Raw genomic sequence first — 23657 nt, 5'->3', positions numbered from 1 at the left:
TGCTGTATGAATGCAGGTTCATCAGTTGCAACAAATGTACCATCTTGGTGCAGGACATTGATAATGGGGAGGTTATGCATGTGTGGGGGCAGGAGATATATGGGAAATCTCTGTATCTTCCTCTCAATTTTGCTGTGAACCTAAAACTAAAGACACCTTTTAAAAAAAGAAAGGGAAGATCTTGATTTTTCCAGTAGGCAGTTATCTGATCTTACAGAGTTTGGCATACTAGTAGAAATCTAGGTGCATGGTTGAAAGCTGTCTCAAGCCTCCTGCATCAAGTGCTGGGTGGGGTCACAGAGAGTCTGGCAGCATGACAGCAGCAGGGGCCATCCCTGGGCCTAGAACACTAATTGACAATTGTCTAGTCAACAATGACTTTGGCAAGAGACAAAGGAGACAGAACCCCTGACCTGGGTAGCAGCCTGGGCTTATGTAAGCTGCATTCTCCCTGCTTCTCTCAAGTCTCAGCTAGTTCACTGATTTTCACCATGGAGAACATCACAATTTCTTGAGATCAGAACATTGCTGCTGACAAAATACAGTGCAAAATAATTCTGCCTTCTTTTCTCTTACGAGCTGATACAACAGCAGAGGCACTCCTGCTATGTCTGAAATTCCTCTTGCCTCTCATTTTTGACCTGACACTGGTGAAGGTGCACACATTTTGATGTAAGTCAGGACCACACATTAGCTCAGTTTCCTACCCATGCTGCCAGGCATCAAGGGTAAGTCTATGACCAAGAACTGTAACAGGGCTCTGCCCAATAGTGTAATTAACAGTGCAAAACAGAGGCTGAGCCATTTCTGACTTGCATGGGAAAATACATTTCAGTGTCTCATAATTATTTGTCTGTTCAGAGACCTGGATAATGAGTTGGCTTTCTTCAGACCTCCTGGAAAACTCACTCAGTTGTCTGCTTCAATCAAAGGCCCTGTGTTTTAACTGCTGGTGTCAAGAATTTGGACACTTTGACTTGCAGAGATAATGTTAAGAAATCAGAGTTCTGTCTCCATCTTTGGATGACAGGTAAGGCAAAGATGGGCCTGCTTTTTCCCATTTCTCCAAGCTGTGTTGCACCATGATAGTGAAGTCAGTAGCACTGGGTTTGTCTTATCAAGAACCTCTGGGTGATAACAGACCATCCTGAGAATAATCTGTGTGAAAGTCAGGTGTGCCCTGGACCAGTTGTTGCTGAGATACAAGCTGTGATGCTGCTGGCAGGTCTGGAACTGTACACCACCTAGAACCTGAGACCTAGGCACAGGAGTGGACAAAAATTTCTAATGGGAGAGCATAAGGCTTGTCCTCTTTATCTGTCACAGGTGACACTAAGCAAAAAAGGTTACAAACCAAATCCCGTCAGTCACCTCTGTTCTACAGGTGGAGGTCCTTTGGAAGGCATTTGATGCTACTGCCATGGTCTGTGCAAGTGCCTTCCAAACACTCATACCTATCCCTCATGACCAAGGGAGAAAAGGGCCTGTAAGAAAGTCCTTCCACCACAGATAATAAAAACACCTTATGTTATAGACTGAACTGTGTATCCCCCAAATTCATATGTTGAAGTCCTAACTCCCATTACCTCTGAATATTTGTATATTTGTAGACCAGGGCTTGAAAGAGGTGATTAAGTTAAAACAAGGCTGTTATTGTGGGCCCTAATCTAATCTGACTGGTGTCCTTATAAGAAGAAATTTGAACTCACAGAGACACCAGGGATGTGGGTCCACACAGAAAAAAGGACATATGAGAACACTGAAAGAAGACAGCCATCTGTAAGCTAAGGAGAGAGCCCTGAGGAGAAACCAAACCTGCTGGCACCTTGATCTTGGACTTCCAGCCTTCAAAACTGTCAGAAAATATATTTCTGTTGTTTAAGCAACTTGGTTATGGTACTTTGTTATGGCAACCCGAGCAGACTAATACACCTGATTTTTCTGATGAGTTCTGATGAGTAGCTTTAATCTGGGAGGGGAAAGGAATGTTTTTAATCTCCGTTTTATAGTTCTGCAATTTATTTATTACTATCTACCCTTGCATTTCACAAAGCATTTGAGGAAGCCTAAAAGAACATATATTATACTATACAAAACATTAAACTAATTAGTTGAAATCAGGGTAGAGGAAAAATAAAGTCAGGAAAGTCATAATCTAAGAGTAAGATTAACACAGAAATGCATACCATATAGGCGGGGCGCGGTGGCTCATGCCTGTAATCCCAGCACTTTGGGAGGCCAAGGCGGGTGGATCACCTGAGGTCGGGAGTTCGAGACAAGTCAGACCTACATGGAGAAACCCCATCTCTACTAAAAATACAAAATTAGCCAGGCACGGTGGTGCATGCCTATAATCCTAGGTACTCAGGAGGCTGAGGCAGGAGAATCGCTTGAACCTGGGAGGCGGAGGCTGTGGTGAGCCTAGATCACCCCATTGCACTCCAGCCTGGGCAACAAGAGTGAAACTCCGTCTCAAAAAAAAAAAAAAAAAAAGAAAGAAAGAAATGCATACCATATAATCTTCGAAGACAGAGGTAAATTTGATTCTATGATTCCTAGTGGCCAAAGCAGAAAAGATGATCAGTATGCTCACCAACTCAAACCCTAGGATTAAAAACAAACCTGCTACTCAGGAAAAACAGCTTCCCAGATACTAAGGCAGCAGAGAAAGAGAACATTGCAATGTGGAGGAGGAAGACCTGAAAACATGGCATGATACAGAAGGTGACAATATTTCTTGTCATATCCTTAATTGAAATCAACAGCATGAAATCAGAACACACTCAGGACAAACAACTGGGAGTGAGAGCAAGTGGGCAGAGGAGACCTCTCTCCCCTTAAATGTCATGGTCATGAAATGGGTGGATTCAGTAGTAAGATTTAGAAGATGGGGAGAAATTGGTGGTGGTCACATCTTTCCAGCAAACCTTTATGAATATGAATTTTTGCCACCAGGTTTTTTATGAATATTGGACAGCAAAGAACTCATGATAGTTTCTATGGCAGGAACATGGAATGCATGTAAATCTATATCATGTCCAGAGAAAGGGATACCCCTGGGATGAAGTGGAGAATGTTAAGGCAAACCAAAATCTCAGCCTTCCTTACATAATATTACTGGTATAATAGCGTTCTCCAAGGGCTGAGATGCCACGAGGAAGCACAAATCAGAATGCTCTGGAGTTAGACCAAGGTGGGCTGGCTCAGCTTGGCATCTGGAGGGTTGAAGGACTTGTGGCAAGTAGGTCAAATCCACAGCCTTTCCCATGTTGATAGAGGGAGGATAGCATTTCTGAGATACTCTTATAATTCAGATATCCCCGGGGCCTTAAAAATCTTAGATACAAGTAGGCTTGAAACAAAGATCTTTGGCAGGGCGCAGTGGCTCACTCCTGTAATCCCACCACTTTGGGAGGCCGAGGCAGGTGGATCACCTGAGGTCAGGAGTTCGAGACCAGCCTGGCCAACATGGCGAAACCCCATCTCTACTAAAAATGTAAAAATTAGCCAGGCGTGGTGGCGCATGCCTGTAATCCCAGCTACTCAGGAGGCTGAGGTGGGAGGATTGCTTGAACCCAGGAGGCGGAGGTTGCAGTGAGCTGAGATCACACCACTGCACCCCAGCCCGGATGACAGAGTGAGACCTTGTCTGAAAACAAACAAACAAACAAAGAAACATCTTTGGACCATCCTTGAAACAGATAAAGTGGGCCATGGGTCCCATTCCCATGATACACCCTTACCTCTTGTTCTGGAGGCAGGGATCTCTGTGTCTGCTGAACAATCCTTGGCTGCACCAAAGAGCATGCCTGCTCCTATGAGATTACCTTTCCCTGCAGTCCAGCTTCCATGGGCACAGATGGACAGAAAAAAACTGCTATTTCATATGGAGTGGGCAATACTAGGGCTCTAATATTCTTCCAGTTTTTCTAAGGTTTTGCCCATTATTCTGCACCTGACTCTACCCAGAGTGCTTCTGGCCGCTCTGTTTGTGCATTCATGTTGCACAAGGGTGACTTACCTGCATGTGCCCCTCACACCCCAAGGGTCTTAATGAAGGACAGGTGAAACTCCTTGATTCTACCCCCACCTTATCAAGAATCCAAAATAATCTCTTTGTAAATTTTTTTTGTCAATATCTTCATACCATACTGTCAGAGTAAACTTGCCTCCTTTCTGAGATCCCAGGCATTGGAAGTCCAGATATGGCAGTTTATCCTGAGAATTGAAAGGTTCATGTTGCATGCTTCCTTTTTCTAATTTGGCAATTTGAAAACTATTAGGCAAAACTCAATGATAGAGAAATAAAAACAAAACTTCCTGCTTAGCCTGTAGTACCTGGTGGTGTTTAGGGTTTTCAACAATGAATAATATAATATAGATATTTCAAAATACTATAGGAACAGCTGTATCCATTTATTTAATTTTATCATAAAACATGCTTAATTGTTTAAAAATATCTAGCCCTCAGCTGGGAAAAGTACACTTTACTACAATTCAGGCATGGTCATAATGGAAATCAAATACATGTAACATAGTTTACTTACAGCTCTAAGAAGAAAAAAGAAACATGAACAAGAAAGAGTAAACAGGAGCTACTAGGAACACTGAAGAAGCCTTGGCACTATGAACATAAATACTGCCCAAGAAGTCCTTGAACTCTGCTCCCACATGCCCCCTACACCCCAACCCTGGCCATCTGTTTTGCAGTTGATAAGAGCTAATGGGTCTGCTTTAGGATTGTTTGCTTGGAAGCAGGATTTCAAATTTGTGTAGTGAAAAAACTAACAGAACAAATATTTTCATAGTCAATGAGACACTAACTCATAAAGTCAGGGCCTGCAGAATGGCAATTGAAGTGGCCAAGAAAGAGGGGTAGAAGGGATGGTATTTATTGGGTGACCACTTAATACACAATATAGTGCTATTTTTAATTATTCCTCCATTGTACAGGTGAAGAAACTGAGGCTCTGAGAAGTAAAGGGACTTGTCTAAGACCACAGAGTAAAAGTAGCCAAGTTGCAAACCCAGATTGTTCAGGTCCTAAAATCCACATTGTTCTCATTATAGCGATTTATCTCTCTGATGCTTCCCATCATTACTGAAATGGAGCAAATGGAATTAGGGTACAAATGTGTTAAGCATCAGCTGGCACAGACATGCGTGCACACACAGAAATTATTTATTTAGAAAACAATAGGCAAGGATGACTTTTGTGAAGAAAGATGAAAGCCTGAGGACATAGTTATTAGTAAAGAAGCAGAAGAATGACTCAGGTGCCCGCATGAGAAAAGTTTGTTTTGCTCTTGAGAAACGTGGGAAAGTGAGAGATGCCAGAAAACTGAAATGGAGCTGGGGATGAAGACTGTTTTTCAAAATAGAGAAGTTTTATTCTCCACCTACTTGGAGTGCCCTTGGGAGACAGATTTCAGCCATCAGCCCTCTTGAAGAATTGCCCTCAGCTGAGCTCAGCTCAAGAACTGCCTCATCAGGGCTCATGCCCTTCCTGCATTCCTGCAGTGAGTGACTGGTAGACGCAGGGCTCTTGAGCTCAGCCCCCTCAATGAACTCTGCAAGGCCATCCCAACTTCAGTGCACCCTGTGCTGTTGACCAGGCCTTGCTGAGATGGTACCACAGCCCACCTTCTCTCTCTACCCACTCCTGTTTCCTTCCTTGCCCCTATATAAATGGATCCAGAGAGCTGGCCATCCCCAGAAACCTTTCCACATGAAAATCATCTCAGAGCCTCCTTTCCAATGGGCCCACCTGCTAAAGAGCATTTTTAAAGAACAGGGATGCCTAATGATTAGTTTGAAGTTGCTTATGTCCTTGTGACATGAGGCTTTTATTGCTAGCTTTCAAATTTTCAAAAAAGTCAAGTGTACTCACAGAAGATTTGGATGAATAGGAGTACATTTTTCAGGGTTCTCTAGAGGGACAGAACTAATAGGATAGATGTATATATGAAAGGGAGTTTATTAAGGAGGATTGACTTACACAGTCACAAGGTGAAGTTCCACAATAGGCCATCTGGAGCCAGGAAGCCAGTTCGAGTCTCAAAATCTCAAAAGTAGGGAGGGCAACAGTGCAGCCTTCAGTCTGTGGCCGAAGGCTTGAGAGCCCCTGGCAAACCACTTGTGTAAGTCCAAGAGTCCAAGAGCTGAAGAACTTGGAGTCTGATGGGCAGGAAGCATCCAGTATGGGAGAAAGATGAAGGTCAGAAGACTCAGCCAGTCTAGTCCTTCCACGTTCTTCTGCCTGCTTTTATTCTAGCCATGCTGGCAGCTGATTAGATAGTGCCCACCCAGATTGAGGGTAGGTCTGCTTCTCCCAGTCCACTGACTCAAATGTTAATCTCCTTTGGCAACACCCTCACAGACACACCCTTGACTGGATTTGCATCCTTCAATCCAATAAAGTTGACACTCACTTAACCATCACAGGGAGTATTGGGGAAAATGAATTAAAAGCCTAGATTTTTCACTCTGCATCAATATGGGTCAGAATGGGGACAATAGAGACAGAAGCCCAGAGGATGAGATCATCACAGCACCCAAGAGTTTGTAGAAGTCTTAGGAAAGGCTTTGAGCTACCATAGGGCATGTCCTAAGGGCTTAAGTCAAAGTTGCCTAGATCTGGAGAGGCAGGGACAAGCTGGCTGACATCTGGGCTACAGTTATGCTAGTGAACCTCCGCTTCAGAGAAAGATGATAAGTCATTCCTGGAGCAGGGAAACAAATACAACAGGTCCATTTCAGGGAGAAGTGCATGAATCTGCTCACTCCTTTATAAGAGATGGGCCTCCTCCTCTGAACTTCCAGAGTGCTGGCTCCACTCCAGTGGCTCCTGGCATTTGCCCTCAGTCTTGTAAATCACACTTACAGGTGTCCGGTTTCCCTAGCTAGGTTGTAAGGTGTCTTTTTGTTCTATGCCCCAAAGCACAATGCCTCACACCTAACAGACTCTCAAGAAGAATTCAATTAATTGCTTCCAGGCCTTGAGACAGCTGAGTAAGAGGTCTGACAGGCTCTTTAAAGGATCTCTTAAAACCGACATATAAATTTAGAACCACTACTCTTTGGGTAAGGAACCCTTATTTGCTGATTACCAAGCTTTTGTTACGTACAAACTTTTGTTGTTTTGAAATTGAAATGCTGATTTCAATCAGCAGTTTCTTCAGAAACACTGCCTGATACTGACCTTTTATTTTAAAAAGGGAATGTTGGAGGTACAACTAGCACTTTTTCAATGAGATTTGGAAAAGGAATGAGAAAAGAACCATCACTGCATCTGTTTCTCCATTAAAGGGTTACTTCAATCAGTGAAACAGAATGAGCTTTGTTCATAAAGCACTTGGAAATCTTGAAATAGTAAAATAGTACATTCTAGTGATACACACACACACACACACACACACACACACACAGTAATAGCCTGAGCTCAGAGAATGAGATGCTGTCAAAATACAAATACCAATACCTGCCAATTCAGAAAAGCATGTGAAAGGGCATAAAATATGACAGCAGACAGACCAACCCTAGAAGCCAGCTTTGGTCTTGGGTGTTTAACTTAACCTCTTTGAATCACAGCTTCTGCATCTCTAAGGTGAGTTGGTTTGTACTTATGGCTACCAAATGAAAACAAATAGGTTCCAGAGCATGATGCCAGGTACATAAAAGGCCTGTGGTAATTAAGAGGCTTCTTTAGAGTTCCTGATGAGATCTAGACTTTAGCATCACTCAGCTCCCACTGTTCCCATCTCATCTTGGCAGTACTTTCCAGCTCTGGTTTTAGAATTAACTACACTTCTATTTGAAGTGTAGCCTTGCCACTTACTAGCTATATGGCAATGGGAGGGTTTCTTCACCTCTTGAAATACAAACTCTTTACCTATAAAATGGAGAATCCTCCGCACCTCACAGGTATATGGTGAGAACTTCAGGAAACAGAAGGTGTCTTAGCACACTCCCTGGCACAAAGGAGGCATGCATTGAAAGTTAGTTTCCCTCCATATAAACATTGCTATGGCTTTGGTCCAGTTCAAAATCTGAGCTGGTACGATTATAAACTTCATGTTACTACCCTATCTTAGGAACATTTTTAGCAAGTGCTTAATGTCTCACCATCATTTTTACAAGTGATTGCTACTGTACCATGAGCTATATATCAGGTTAACAAGAAGGACAATAAAGATCATGGACTTCTCATGTTCTGTTTAGATCTTCCTGTCAAGATATTCCTGTGATTGAAAGTGAAGGAGAAATTTCAAGAACTTGTGAACCGGCTATCTGAGACTGAATCAGTTATGAGGTCTGACCTCACTGTTATTTATAGAAAATCCCTGTGCCTTCTGCAGCCTCTAAATAGTTGACTTCAGCCCTCACGGCAGCACTATACCAGGGCTGTGCTCTGACCTGGGGAGGAGAACAGGCATCTATGACACAGATGCAAAAATACAGAAACCTGTTTTGACCATCAGCAGTGGCATGCACTGTGGTAGCCATTCAATATACCAGGGCATGAGACAGTTCTATGAAGAAGATCACCTTACCCCTCATCTTCCTCTATAAATACTATAAACACAATGTCCACATATAGGAGAAGCAATGTCCACTTGGGCATGATGTGCATGTCACTACACTGATCTCTATGGCATTAATAATGCCAGACTAATGTCTGATCTCTAGGCATTAATAATCTAAAACTGATGACACCAAAATCAGCAGCCCTGGAAAGGTGATTCCTCCTAGATATTAGAGATTTAGAACACCACAAACCCCTACTCCTCATTAAGATAATTTAAACAAAAATCTCTGGCTAAATAGCTAAATGAGAAAAAAAAGTATCGCTTTTATTAATCTTTGCAAGCAACACCATTTGACTCCCAGTAAGCAAGGTTTCTGGAAAGCTGTGTTGGATATCTCAGCTGAAACCTGAGGCTAAAAGTGGTTTCTTCCCTTCCACTCCAAATTTAGATGTGGGGACATTTTGTGCACTTTAATCTCAAGTGTGTTTGCTGTAAGACATGAAAATATAGCTTCCTAAATTCCAAAAAATATACCAAAAGCAAGTAAAATAGACCACACAATGAAATACTACATTTATAAAAGACAAAAGTAGATATACAATAGATGGATGGATGGATAGATAGATAGGCAGACAGACAGACAGGCAGAATAAACTCCAAAAGTTTGATAACGTACTTTGTGGGGAAACAACACTCTCATACTTTGCTGGTGGGAATGCAAAGTGGCATTTGGAAATACCTACCAAAATTATGTATGCATTTATTCTCTAACTAAGCAATCTCACTTCTAGAAATCTATCTCAAAGATACATTGGCAATAAAACAAACAAAAAACCCTGAATGTGCAAGGCTATTAATTACAGCACTATTCGTACTAGCGAAAGACTGCAAATACTCGTATGTCCGTCATTAGGTTACAGGTTGAATAAACAATAGTACATCTACACAGAGGAGAACTTGGAAGCTGTAAAAAGAAGTGAAGAATATTGCCATATACTACTGTGCTCCAGCATATATTACTAAATAAAGGAGACAAAATGTATATAATATGTTACCAATTTCTTAAGCAGCAGGAGAGAGATTCATTTATCTGAATATATTTTTAAATGAAAGGATGAGCCCTGAAATTTTTAAACATGGAAGGGAGGAAATAGGGCAAGGGATCAAGGATAGAAGCTAGTCTTCATTAAATATGGCTTTTAATAGATCTGACTTTGGACCCATGGAAACATGTTACATAATTAACAAAAGTATTAAAACAAAAGCTGTTTAAAAAAATGTGAAGCAAAAGAAATCAATAAACCTGTGTATACCCACACATACAGTGTGATTCAGCTGAGTGTAGACCAGCACGTGCATGTGAGGAGATTACTGAGCTGAGAGAGGGAAGGACACGAGAGGATGAGAGAGAATAGTACTTGGGGCTCACATTGGGCCATGAATAGTGCCTCTTCAGACCTTCATACTTGCCAAACTGGTAAACCTGGTCATTCATCAGCCATTGCATAGAGAACCCAGAAGGGTCTTGCTGCAGTAATGGGAAATAACCAGCTGTAGCCTAAATGCTGCCCTGGTCCCACATAACAAAGCTCAAAAGTAAAAACCAAAAGTATCAAACTGCTTCCAAGCAACTAAAACAAAGATCCCGGCTATTTATTGGAATACAGAATTATCCAACACCCACACAGGGTGAGTTTTAACTCACAATGTCAAAGACATCAAAATAATTAGTATAACTGTACTCTACTTGTTAAATAGAGGAAATATTGAACATGTTAAACAGAGACAAGAAAGATGTAACAAAAAGACTCAAACCAAACTTCTAGAGATGAAAACTTAATGTCTAAGATGAAGAATACACTGAATGTTCCAGTCAATTTTGCTATGAATCTCAAACTGCTTATAATGTCTATTTATAAACATACACTGAATGAGATTAACAGTAGATTAGACATTGCAGAAGAAAAGATTAATAAATTTTAAGACATAGCAAAAGAAACTATCCAAAATGACAGACAGAGAGGGAAAAAAAAGCCTTAAAAAAAAAGAGCATAGCACCAGTAAGCTGTGGGACAACTTCAAATAGCCTACTATATGTGTAATTGCAGTTCCTAAAGTGGAGAACACGTATCCCTACAAAGATTATTTTTTTCCTGTGCTCACTGCATGAATTGGCAATGCAAAGGTGATTCAGAGAATGTCACCAGAAAATGATGCCATCCCTGTCATTAAACTGTTTCTTAGGGCCCAGATGTTTTTCAGGTCCCTGACTTCCAATTGGAAAAGTGGGCTCAGAAGCTCCCCCAGATTCTCAGGCCTTTTCCATTATTGAGCTTTTTAGTGAGGTGGATCTGATCCCTAGAAATCTCAATAGAGCAAGATGAAGGAGACTCCCTCTACTCACACTGTTTCCAGGAACTAAGGCCTCCCAGCCATTGCAAAAAGCTGACAAGTCTGACAGGGAAACCAGCAGTTCAGCCTCAAAATTTTCTGGGTAGCAAGTTTCTCTAACAGCAGACTCTTACTGGGGACAGAAACCTTCGGGACCGCTGCTAGTGAGGTGCCTGTGACTTTAATGCCAGACCTGAGTCTCCTTGTGACAGTTCTGTGGAGAATGAAGTTATTCAAAATTGCAAGGCTCTAGCATATGACTATGCATAGATCTAGATCCATATTCATAACTAACTATCCAGTTACAATGGGGGTCTATGATGCTAAGTGATGATTTCACTAATATGACATTATAAAAAGGAAAAACTATAGGGACAGAAAGTAGACCATGGTTGTGAGGTACAGGGTATGGTGGGAGGAGCTGACTACAAAGGGGGAGCACAGGGAATTTTCGGGGACAGAGAACCGTTCTATAATAATCTTGATTGTGCTGATAATTATACGACTATTTGCACTTGTCAACACTGATAGAACTGTTTACTAAAAAGAGTGAATCTTATTGTATACAAATCAAAATTTATAGAACTATATATAAAAAGAGGTGAGTTTTGCTGCATGTAAATTATATACTCCTTATTAAAATAAATGGAAAATAAGTGAATTTATTTTATTTTTTGAGACCGAGTTTCGCTCTTGTTGCCAAGTCTGGAGTGCAATGGCGTGATCTCAGCTCACTGCAACCTGTCTCCTGGGTTCAAGCGATTCTCCTGTCTCACCTTCCCTAGTAGCTGGGATTACAGACGTGTGCCACCATGCCCGGCTAATTTTTGTATTTTTAGTAATTTAGGCTGGTCTCAAACTCCTGACCTCAGGTGATCAATCTTCCTTGGTCTCTCAAAGTGCTGGGATTACAGGTGTGAGCTGCCACTCCCAGCATAAGTAAATTTTTAAAAGTCAAAAATATTAGGGCCTTAAAACATAAATATATTAATATATTTTATATAATATTTGATTTTTATTAAGACTGATTCCAACTCACATTCTGGTAACAAATGTCTCAAACTTTAATGTGTATATGAATTTCTAAATAGTTTAAAATTCAGATTCTGATTCAGGAGGGAGGGGGCCAGAGAGTTTGCATTTCTCACGGGTTTCCAGATGATGTCCCTGGTGCAGGTCAGGGACCACACTCTAAGTAGTAAGGCACAGGACACCAGTGGTCTTACTTGATGTATAAAGCTGAGGCCAAGAGGATAATTCATTTAGATAGAGCAGGCCCTTCATGTACATTGCCTTGGCCTCTGTGAGTTAAAGGACCAGTCTTAGTCACAGTGGCCCCTTGCCCTCCTCAGAGCTGAAAGCTGACGAGCCGTCATTCCACAGGGTCTCCTTTTTGGCTTCTAGTGGGAGCATGGAGCCAGGCCTGGAATTTAATCTGGCTTGAGGTGTAAAAAAACAAAAAAAAACAAAACAAAACAAAAAACTTTTTTGAACAGAAACCCTTTCCTGAGAGCAGAAGTTTCAGGAGGACCATGGAGCCACAAAGGCCCACTTATCCACCCGTTCACCCATCCATCCACCTACCTATCCATCAATTCATCTATCCATTCATCATTTATCTATCCATACATGAATAGCAACCACTCTTCAAATGTACATGGAAATTCCTCAGTCAGAAAAGAAGTCAACACTGACTTCTTGTCATTTTGCCAACATTCCAATGACTTTGAGCAGTACCACCTAATAACTTCTGAGAGCTGATGTTGTTTGTGCACCAGTAGGGGAGTTTCATTTATGGAGTAGTCTCCCTGCAAGAGTGAGAAGTGGCTGTGGCCAGAAGTCAGTTGGAGAATGGCAAATGTCTGGAATTTATATTAAACAACTTCATGGCATTTTCTCAGAGAATTGGCACTAGCACTTTTCGCATGCTAAAAAGATACTACATGCATGTCTTAACAAACAGCTGCTTCACTTACCAATGCCCTCAGGTATAAAACATCACAAACACATGTCAACACCTTCAGACACTTGGCTTGGGGATTTTCAAAGTGAAGCAACCACACATATATTGAGAGTCTAAGTTGTTAACATTTACTGAGCACTTACTATGTGCCATAAACTATTCTTAGTGCATTTCATACATTATCTCAACTCACCCTAACAACAACTCTATGAGGCAAAAATCATTATTAGTCCCACTTCACAGATGAGAAATCTGAGGCCCAAAGAGTTTGGTTAACTTGTCCAAGGACACATATTAGTCAGTGGCAAGGAGGGATATAAATCCCAGCAGCTTGCCCCCTGCATCTTCCCTTCTGACCACTGTGCTAGGGTCTACTCTATGCCTGACATCGCATATATTAATACTTACAAAGCCCCAGGGCCCCCAGTTTAGAGAACTTGGAGAAGGATGGCAGCATGATCACCAGGTGTGTTGCCACCCAACTTCTTCATAGAGGAGACGACAAAGTCATTTGCCTGATATCCTTAAACTGTCACACACTAAGTAAGCCTTCAGGCACTACTTACTGAGCTGGAAGGTTCTTTCTTAACTAGATCTTGCCTTTGCTTATGTAACAATGGGGAAGGCTGTGGAGGGGGCAGATGTGGTAGGGAAATTTAGGAGTTCAGTTTTGGAAATCCTGAGCTTGAGATGCCTAATGGACATCCAAGGGAAAGTGTCAAAGAGCAGATCAAAATTCACATATTTATTTAAATACTTATGGATATAACATATGATGAATAGGACTTCCTTAAAAGTAACATGTGAGAACAGGTGGAAGTATAGAAAAACAAGATTGGTCATGGGTGATAACTGTTAAACTGGTTGGGTTGATTAGTCTACAGAAAAATTATACTACTCTGACTACTTTTATATGTGGCTGAAACTTCCTATAATTAAATGTTTAAAAGTTCAGGACAAACAATATTTCTTATGTAGGCTACCACCAAAAGTGTATAACCTGAAGCTCATAATGAGGAAACAACAGACAAACCCACAGTAAGAGATATCTTACAAAACAACTGGCCTGCACTCTTCAAAAATGTCAGTGTCATGAAAGATGAAGAATGACTAAGGAACCATTCTAGAGTAAATACACCAAAGAGACATAGCAACTGAGTGTAATGTGTGATCCTGGCTTGTATCCTGAATCAGAAAAACAATTGCTATAATGGGTATTATTGGGATAATCAATGAAATCTGAATATGGATTTGTATGTTAAATAATAGTATGTACTGATGTGAAATTTCCTGAATTCAATCATCATACTATGGTTATATTAAGAGAATGTTCTTGTTTTTAGAAGCTACTCATTTAAATATTTAGGGTTGAAGAATCATGAAGCATGGAATCTATTCTCAAACGGATCAGTAATAATAATAATTTATAAGTGTATATGTATATATATTATATAGATAGATATAAAGAAAAATTACAAAAATGTGACAAAGTGTTAACAACTGGCAAATCCAGATGAAGTCTATACTGGTAAATACAGAAGTGAACATCTTGTTCAGTCACGGCCCCTTCCCAGAGTGGCCCACATGCAATGTCTGATTGACTTGGGGTTACAAAGGCCCTCTTGTCCCAACTCAGCACAGTTCTGCAGGGCCATCTAGCCCCAGAACTCCCAATGGGGTTGGCAGAGGCCTCTAATGACCCATGTCACAGCTTGACTTCTCCCTGACCAGTCTGCTTCCTTCCTCCTCCTTTCTACAGGTGTTGGTCTCCAGAAGATTCCCTCACAAACCTCCTCCTACACATTAATCTCCATCTCTGAGTATGCTTCCTGGGAATCCAGCTGTGGCAATTAATATGACCATTTTATAGATAAAGAAACTGAATCTTAGAAAATCACTTGTCAAAGGTTAGACAGCCATTTATTAGTGAAGCCAAGACTCAGACACCAAATCTGCTGACCTCCAGCTTCTCCTCCTTTTTCTTTACCTCTCCAAATTACATCCCTCTGTGAAGGCCAAGGTGAAGGCTAAGTCCCTGCTTCTCCCAGAGGTCTCCCAACTTCCCCTTTCTGATCTTAGAGCTCTCATCATCTATTTGGCTCATGGCCATGCTCCTATTTGGGGACTTTTCTTAATTATCACCTCATATTACATAACCACTATGTTGTCATTTAACGTTTTGCATTTGAAGTTTTGTGTTTTCTCTACATTATAATCTCTATGGAGACAAATGTCATTAACTATTCTTCTTGGCATCCCAATAGTTGCCATCCATATGCTGAGCATGCAGTATATCACAGTGCAGAGAAAGAACAGCAAGATTTCCTCTCTCTGGCTGGCTTCTAAGTCTTTGAAACTGAGAAAACACAACATGCTCAAAAGACATGCAGATTTGCAGCCTTGATTTCCTTTTGCCTTTTCTGGAATGGCATAAGGATTCACAATATAAAATATAAAAGGATGGCAGGTTATTCCACTAGAGGAGCAATACCATCCATGGGGGAGTAACCCAAACTGCAGTAGCCCACATGAAAAAGGTGAGCCAGAAAGTACTTGGTCAATTACAGCCAAGCAATAAGGAGAAAAAAAACAACACACTAGGAATAAAATCATTAGAATGCATCTTGGCCAATTAATTTAGCAAAATATTTTCATTTTAATTATTTAAAACATTTCATAATATGCTAGGAAATGGGGTATTGTGTACTTTGCAAAAGTAATGAAGTCTTAGATCAAAAATCTGACACCACATTGTTAACTTTTACGGGTAAAATAAGCAAACCACTTTTCTTCTCTTTAAAGACTATCAACTGGGAAATTAGCAACACCTTCTATATTATCTCCTCCAAGCAAGGAGAGGTGGAGGTAGTTTCCCTCTACAGAGGGAAAAATTAATCCATACTCCCTCACTTTCAATTTCTGGGAATCAGTTCTTGCCATGGTAATTATGTTATTATAAGACCACTCTCAAAAGAAGACATTTATGCAGCCAAAAAAACACATGAAAAAATGCTCATCATCACTGGCCATCAGAGAAATGCAAATCAAAACCACAATGAGATACCATCTCACACCAGTTAGAATGGCAATCATTAAAAAGTCAGGAAACGGCCGGGCGCGGTGGCTCACGCCTGTAATCCCAGCACTTTGGGAGGCCGAGGCGGGTGGATCACGAGGTCAGGAGATCGAGACCATCCTGGCTAACAAGGTGAAACCCCGTCTCTACTAAAAATACAAAAAATTAGCCAGGCGCGGTGGCAGGCGCCTGTAGTCCCAGCTACTCGGGAGGCTGAGGCAGGAGAATGGCGTGAACCCGGGAAGCAGAGCTTGCAGTGAGCCGAGATTGCGCCACTGCAGTCCGCAGTCCGGCCTGGGCGACAGAGCGAGACTCCGTCTCAAAAAAAAAAAAAAAAAAAAAAAAAAAAAAAAGTCAGGAAACAACAGGTGCTGGAGAGGATGTGGAGAAATAGGAACACTTTTACACTGTTGGTGGGACTGTAAACTAGTTCAACCATTGTGGAAGTCAGTGTAGCGATTCCTCAGGGATCTAGAACTAGGAATACCATTTGACCCAGCCATCCCACTACTGGGTATATACCCAAAGGACTATAAATCATGCTGCTATAAAGACACATGCACACGTATGTTTATTGTGGCACTACTCACAATAGCAAAGACTTGGAACCAACCCAAATGTCCAACAATGATAGACTGGATTAAGAAAATGTGGCACATATACACCATGGAATACTATGCAGCCATAAAAAATGATGAGTTCATGTCCTTTGTAGGGACATGGATGAAACTGGAAATCATCATTCTCAGTAAACTATCGCAAGAACAAAAAACCAAACACCGCATATTCTCACTCATAGGTGGGAATTGAACAATGAGATCACATGGACACAGGAAGGGGAATATCACACTCTGGGGACTGTTGTGGGGTGGGGGGAGGGGGGAGGGATAGCATTGGGAGATATACCTAATGCTAGACGATGAGTTAGTGGGTGCAGCGCACCAGCATGGCACATGTATACATATGTAACTAACCTGCACAATGTGCACATGTACCCTAAAACTTAAAGTATAATAATAATAAAAAAAAAAGACCACTCTGGTACAGGTAGGGCTAGAAAACAATAAGTATATAAACATAGTAACAGCTTTAGGCTTGGAAATAATTTTCAGCATTTTTTTCTCCTTTGCTTTCAAACATTAGCATGGATGAGAATGTGCTGTGCTGCAAGAATACTATAAGTGCAAATCAACTGAAAAATAATTCTTGCCAAACTTCCCTAATTATTCGACCAGCACCAATACAGAAAGTGAATTTTAGAGAGAAGTTTCTAAGTTGGAACAGCTTAGTCCCAGGTATTTTGTCACGGCAGCACAAATGGACTAAGACAGTATCACATGACTGGGTCACACACTTGGTCAATATGCTTTAACACTGCACCTTCCTAGGGGGCAGGCAACATGCTACTTACTCCCTCATGCGTTTCATCTTGGTCCTGGCCATCACACTGTTGAAAATTGGTGGTCCTGGGGACATGTCTTCAGCCATGGTGGTGATGGTCTTTGTGTCTGAAAATCAATGCACAGCCCTTATTGACTTCATCAGCAATCCTGCAACTTCAAGGCGATGTTCAAGGGCAATCAGAAAACAGAAGCTAATCCACCTTTGCCACATGGTAATGCTACATTAATTAGAGATGAATTCAATTATAACACGCACATTAAGAAGATTTATTCCAAATGACAAGATTATTTACAGTTTTAATATGCACAAGGTATTCCAGGAGAAAGCCTCTCTCACAAAGGATTGTTTAAACAAAACACCATTATTTAAAAGATGAGCTTTTTATCCTAGAAAACTCAGGGGGAAATGTATCTATAGAAAAGCAAGTGTTCCTGAGGACCCTTTGGCCATTCTCTTTCAGCAGGTGTGGATGTTTGACTAAGTGACTAGGAATTTTTCTAATAAGCTTAGTTTTCCTTTTATCTTAATCTTATACCTGAGCATTAGCTTTTTTTGCAATGGAAAGCAAAATGCTGACCAGAGGTCCTATCTGCAGCTTTAAACTTCAGCAGAATGGAGCAGAAGGCCAAAGTTGTGTTCAGAGGGTAAGAGTTGGTAATGAAAGTTGAGGTGTAATGAAATCTGCTGAGAGAGCTACAGTTTTTAATGAAACATCCTGAAGGCTCTTATAAAACATGTTGAAACTGAGGGAAAGAAATATTCCATCAACTGAAACAACACTACTTTCCATTAAAAAGCTAAAACTGGGTTGGGTGCAGTGGCTCATGCCTGTAATCCCGGCATTTTGGAAGGCTGAGGTGGGCGGATCACCTGAGGTCACGAGTTTGGGACCAGCCTGGCCAACATGGTGAAACCTCGTCTCTACTAAAAATATAAAAATTAGCTGGGTGTGGTGGCACTTGCCTGTAATCCCAGCTACTCTGGAGGCTGAGACAGGAGAATCACTTGAACTTGGGAGGCGGAGGTTGCAATGAGCTCAGATCGCACCACGGCACTCCAGCCTGGGTGAAAGAACAAGGCTCTGTCTCAAAAAAAAAAAAAAAAAAAAAAAAAAAAAAGAAGCTAAAACTGGCCCATTAGCAAGAGCTCAGGGCAATCCATAGAGCTGAATTTACAATTTGGCCCTATGCTGCTCTTTCCTCCCTGGAACTGGGAGCAGAGTACTCCCTGTGCACGTCCTTAGATCTCTTATAAGGTGCTTCACATCCCATCAGTAAAAAACTGTCCACTCCAATGATCATTTATAAATTATATCCATGTAGTTGCTATGTCAGAGAGAAGAGACTCATGTTATGAAATTCCCATTCTTTTCTCAACATATCTCATATAACATGTGCCTGCTTGACTTAGGGACCAAGTAAAGAAGCAAGGTGGAGTCCCCATTTTACATATTAGTAAAACTTTTTCTTCTTCTTTTTTTTGAGACGGAGTTTCGCTCTTGTTGCCCAGGCTGGAATGCAATGGCGTGATCTCGGCTCACCGCAACCTCTGCCTCCCGGGTTCAAGTGATTCTTCTGCCTCAGTCTCCTGAGTAGCTGGGATTACAGGCGTGCGCCACCATGCCTGGCTAATTTTGTATTTTTAGTAGAGACAGGTTATCTCCTGTTGGTCTCCTGTTGGTCAGGCTGGTCTTAAACTCCCGAGCTCAGGTGATCCGCCCACCTCGGCCTCCCAAACTGCTGGAATTACAGGCGTGAGCCACCACACCCGACCTTTTTATTTTTTTGAGATGGAGTTTTGCTCTTGTTGCCCAGGCTGGAGTGCAATAGTGAGATCTCGGCTCACTGCATCCTCCACCTCCTGGGTTCAAGCAATTCTCCTGCCTCAGCCTCCCAAGTAGCTGGGATTACAGGCTCCCGCCACCAAGCCCAGCTAATTTTTTTCTTTTTAGTAGATACAGGGTTTTGCCATGTTGGTCAGGCTAGTCTCGAACTCCTGACCTGAGGTGATCCGCCTGCCTCGGCCTGCCAAAGTGCTGGGATTACAGGCGTGAGCCACCCCGACTGGCTCTATTTTTTAAATTTTAAAAGTTAAATGCAAATTCTAATATGTCTCACATACATCCTCCTTTTGCACTACCTGTTGGGGCATGTATCCCACTTTGAACTTCTTGCTCCTATAGATATAATTGAGATGAATATTCTCCAGCTTAATTCTGTGCCAAAGTCTCTGATCTTTCCTTGGACTAGATCCCTAGTTATGGAAATACTGGATTAACAGGGACAAACCTTGTAAAGGGCATAATACAAATTAACAATGTGTTGCTCATAGTACATTCACCAGTTATGCCTTCATGATAAAGACACAAGTACCAGCAACTGATTGCTCCCATTTCTCTCACTCCTGGAGATTGCCCCTTCCACACCTGGAGAGAAAATTTGCCTCGGCCCTCACTGCAACTGGACAGCAGCTTTCTGTCAGCTCCAACCTTCCCACTAACTCTGGCCAGGACAGATACTTTTCCCCAGGAAGCTTGGGGAGTGGGCAAGAGGAAGGCATAGGGGTTTATTTCATATTCCTGTTGGTTGCTTTTTACAATAATCTTTCCTAGAACCTAAAAAGTTACTAAAACAACACCAACCATACCATGCTAAGTAACTCACATGCAAGCTCAAAAATCAGTTCCGCCAAGAATAAAAATAAGGTGCTCCTTTCCCATCTTTTCCAGAGCTGGCAAGTTTTGAAGACTTATGCAAATAAAGGTCAAAGCAATTTCCAGGAGAGCTGCAGTTTATTTTAAGCTGGCTACAGTTTCCCTCAATAAGGCACTCAGTCTGCTAGGAAAGATGCTAAGCCTTAAGCCCAAGGGTAGAAAACAGGGCAAGTATAATTTCGAGTAACAGGGTTGGCAAAGCTTGGTGCTCAGAGCAATTCCTTTTTCAGTGTTTCTTATTGGCCAACTTTCTTTCCCTCTGCCTCCCATCTTCCAACATGAATAGTAGTTGCTTTATGTCAAAGAAAAGGACAATTCATTTAACAATCATAATAAAAATAATTGGGGCAAGAACATAGATGTCATCCAATAGGTGACTGAATCCCAGAGTGTGTTTTAGACCACTGCTTCTCAAACTTTAATGTCATACAAATCATCCAGGGATCTTGTTAAAATGCAGATTCTTCTTTAGTAGGTTTGGGTAGGGCTTGGGATTCTACGTTTCCATATGTTCCCAGGTGATACCAATGCTGCTGGTCCTGCAACCACACTTTGAGTAGTAAGGCTCTAGACAGGCCAGCTACATAATTTGTGGGGCCCAGTGCTAAATGACAACGCAGAAATCCTTGTTCAAGAAACAAGAGAAAAGCTGTTTTTTGGGGGGTCTGTATTTGTCTGTGGACCTGTCATTGTGCTTTTTGTTGGGTATTTAATGTCATTCTCCCTCAGGAACTAGGGCAGATACTCTGCAGGGGAGTGTAGACACTTATAGGGACCTGGCAGTCTTACCTCACGGCAACCCTTCCTCACTATTACCTAGGATCCCATTGGGAATGGAAGATTGCAGTAGTTATGGGATGGGGATTAAGGGCTAGGTGGCAGAGGAACCTTCCCAGGTAGATGTCTTAAAGGCAAGACAGCACATGAGCAAGGCTTTAAGCCTTGAGCCTGTGTTCCACTGTGTTATCAGCTTTCACTCATAAAACACAAATTCAAAGATAAAATTTTATGAAACCCCATGTGTGGGCTCCTTCCTGAACCTAGGGCTCTGTGTAACTGCACTGGTCTCACGTCCATGAAGCCCTGGTTCTAGAGCTCTGCTTTCTTAAAGCTCTGCTTTCTGAAAAATAGCTGAATCCTTAATCCCCATGTTAATTTTCAAAAACTACTTTTGGATGGAATGGGCAAGATGGCCGAATAGGAACAGCTCCAGTCAGCAGCTGCCAGTGAGATCAACACAGAAGGCGGGTGATTTCTCCATTTCCAACTGAGGTACCAAGCTCATCTCATTGGGACTGGTTAGACAATGGGTGCAGCCCACAGAGGGTGAGCTGAAGCAGGGTGGGGCGTCGCCTAGCCAAGGGAAGCCATGAGGGACTGTGCCATGAGGAATGGTGCACTCTGGCCCAGATACTATGCTTTTCCCATGGTCTTTGCAACCCACAGACCAGGAGATTCCCTCGGGTGCCTATGCCACCAGGGCCCTGGGTTTCAAGCACAAAACTGGGTGGCCATTTGAGCAGACACTGAGCTAGCTGCAGGAGTTGTTTTTCATACTCCAGTGGCACCTGGAATGCCAGCGAGACAAAATCGTTCACTTCCCTGGAAAGGGGGCTGAAGCCAGGGAGCCAAGTGGTCTAGCTCAGCGGATCCCACCCCCACAGAGCCCAGAAAGCTAAGATCCACCAGCTTGAAATTTGCACTGCCAGCACAGCAGTCTGAAGTCAACCTGGGATGCTCAAGCTTGGTGGGGGGAGGGGCATCTGCCATTACTGAGGCTTGAGTAGGTGGTTTTCCCCTCATAGTGTAAACAAAGCTGCTGGGAAGTTTGAACTGGGCAGAGCCCACCGCAGCTTGGCAAAGCCTCTGTAGTCAGACTGTCTCTCTAGATTCCTCCTCTCTGGGCAGGGCATCACCGAAAAAAAGGCAGCAGCCCCAGTCAGGGGATTAAAGATAAAACCCCAATCTCCCTGGGACAGAGCCAATGGGGGAAGGGGAGGCTGTGGCACAGCTTCAGCAGACTTAAACGTCCCTGCCTGCTGGCTCTGAAGAGAGCAGTGGATCTCCTAACACAGTGTTCGAGCTCTGCTAAGGGACAGACTGCCTCCTTAAGTGGGTCCCTGACCCCCATGCCTCCTGACTGGGAGACACCTCCCAGCAGGGGTTGACAGACAAATACAGGAGAGTTTGGGCTGGCATCTGGTGGGTGCCCTTCTGGGATGAAGCTTCCAGAGGAAGGAACAGGCAGCAATTGCTGCTGTTCTGCAGCCTCCACTGGTGGTACTCAGGCAAACAGGGTCTGGAGTGGACCTCCAGCAAACTCCAGCAGACCTGCAGCAGAGGGGTCTGGCTGTTAGAAGGAAAACTAACAAACAGAAAGGAATAGCATCAACATCAACAAAAAGGACATCCACTCAGAAACCCCATCTGAAGGTCACCATCAAAGACCAAAGGTAGATAAATCCATGAAGATGAGGAAAAACCAGCACAAAAAGACTGAAAATTTCAAAAATCAGAATGCCTCTTCCCCTCCAAAGGATCACAACTCCTCACCAGCAAGGGAACAAAATTGGAGGGAGAATGAGCTTGACAAATTGACAGAAGTAGGCTTCAGAAGGTGGGTAATAACAAACTCCTCTGAGCTAAAAAAGCATGTTCTAACCCAATGCAAGGAAGCTAAGAATGTTGATAAAAGGTTAGACGAATTGCTAACTAGAATAACCAGTTTAGAGAAGAACATAAATGACCTGATGGAGTTGAAAAACACAGCACGAGAACTTTGTGAAACATACACAAGTATCAATAGCTGAACTGATCAAGTGGAAGAAAGGATATCAGAGACTATGAACTTAATGAAATAAAGCATGAAGACAAGATTAGAGAAAAAAGAATGAAAAGGAATGAATAAAGCCTCCAAGAAATATGGGACTATGTGAAGAAACCAAACCTATGTTTGATTGGTGTACCTGAAAGTGATGAGGAGTATGGAACCAAGTTGGAAAACACATTTCAGGATATTATCCAGGAGAACTTCCCCAACCTAGCAAGAGAGGCCAACTTTCAAATTCAGGAAATACAGAGAACACCACAAAGATACTCCTCGAGAAGAGCAACCCCGAGACACGCAATCGTCAGATTCACCAAGGTTGAAATGAAGGAAAAAAGGTTAAGGGCAGCCAGAGAGAAAGGTCAGGTTACCCACAAAGGGAAGCCCATCAGACTAACAGTGGATCTCTCAGCAGAAACCCTACAAGCCAGAAGAGAGAGAAAGGTCAGGTTACCCACAAAGGGAAGCCCATCAGACTAACAGTGGCTCTCTCAGCAGAAACCCTACAAGCCAGAAGAGAGTGGGGGCCAATATTCAACATTCTTAAATAAAAGAATTTTCAACCCAGAATGTCATATCCAGCTAAACTAAGCTTCATAAGCGAGGGAGAAATAAAATCCTTTACAGACAAACAAATGTTGAGCGATTTTATCGCCACCTGGCCTGCCTTACAAGAGCTCCTGAAGGAAGCACTAAACATGGAAAGGAACGACCAGTACCAGCCACTGCAAAAACATGCTAAATTGTAAAGACCA

At 42.3% G+C, this 23657-nt stretch overlaps 1 protein-coding gene across 51 annotated transcripts in view; it reads right to left on the bottom strand.

Annotated features, from left to right (window-relative positions):
- Positions 1–23657, bottom strand: part of NEK11 (NIMA related kinase 11) — a 323589-nt gene that overhangs the window by 59522 nt on the left and 240410 nt on the right. For 37 of the 51 annotated variants that reach the window (XR_001740271.2, NM_001353038.2, NM_001353022.2 and 34 more), the window contains one exon: positions 17370–17466. The exons of the other annotated variants lie outside the window; for them this stretch is intronic. Coding sequence is in view for 36 of the 37 variants with exons in the window: in NM_001353038.2 (NP_001339967.1) it covers positions 17370–17466 (97 nt within the window). In the remaining variant the exon portion in view is untranslated. The remainder of the gene's footprint in view (positions 1–17369; positions 17467–23657) is intronic. 51 annotated transcript variants of the gene reach the window in all.

Source organism: Homo sapiens, chromosome 3 (assembly GCF_000001405.40).
Source record: "Homo sapiens chromosome 3, GRCh38.p14 Primary Assembly".
In the NCBI taxonomy this organism is placed as follows: Eukaryota; Metazoa; Chordata; class Mammalia; order Primates; family Hominidae; genus Homo; species Homo sapiens.
Note: the sequence above shows the minus strand (reverse complement) of the source record. Positions and strands in the feature narration are given on the sequence as shown.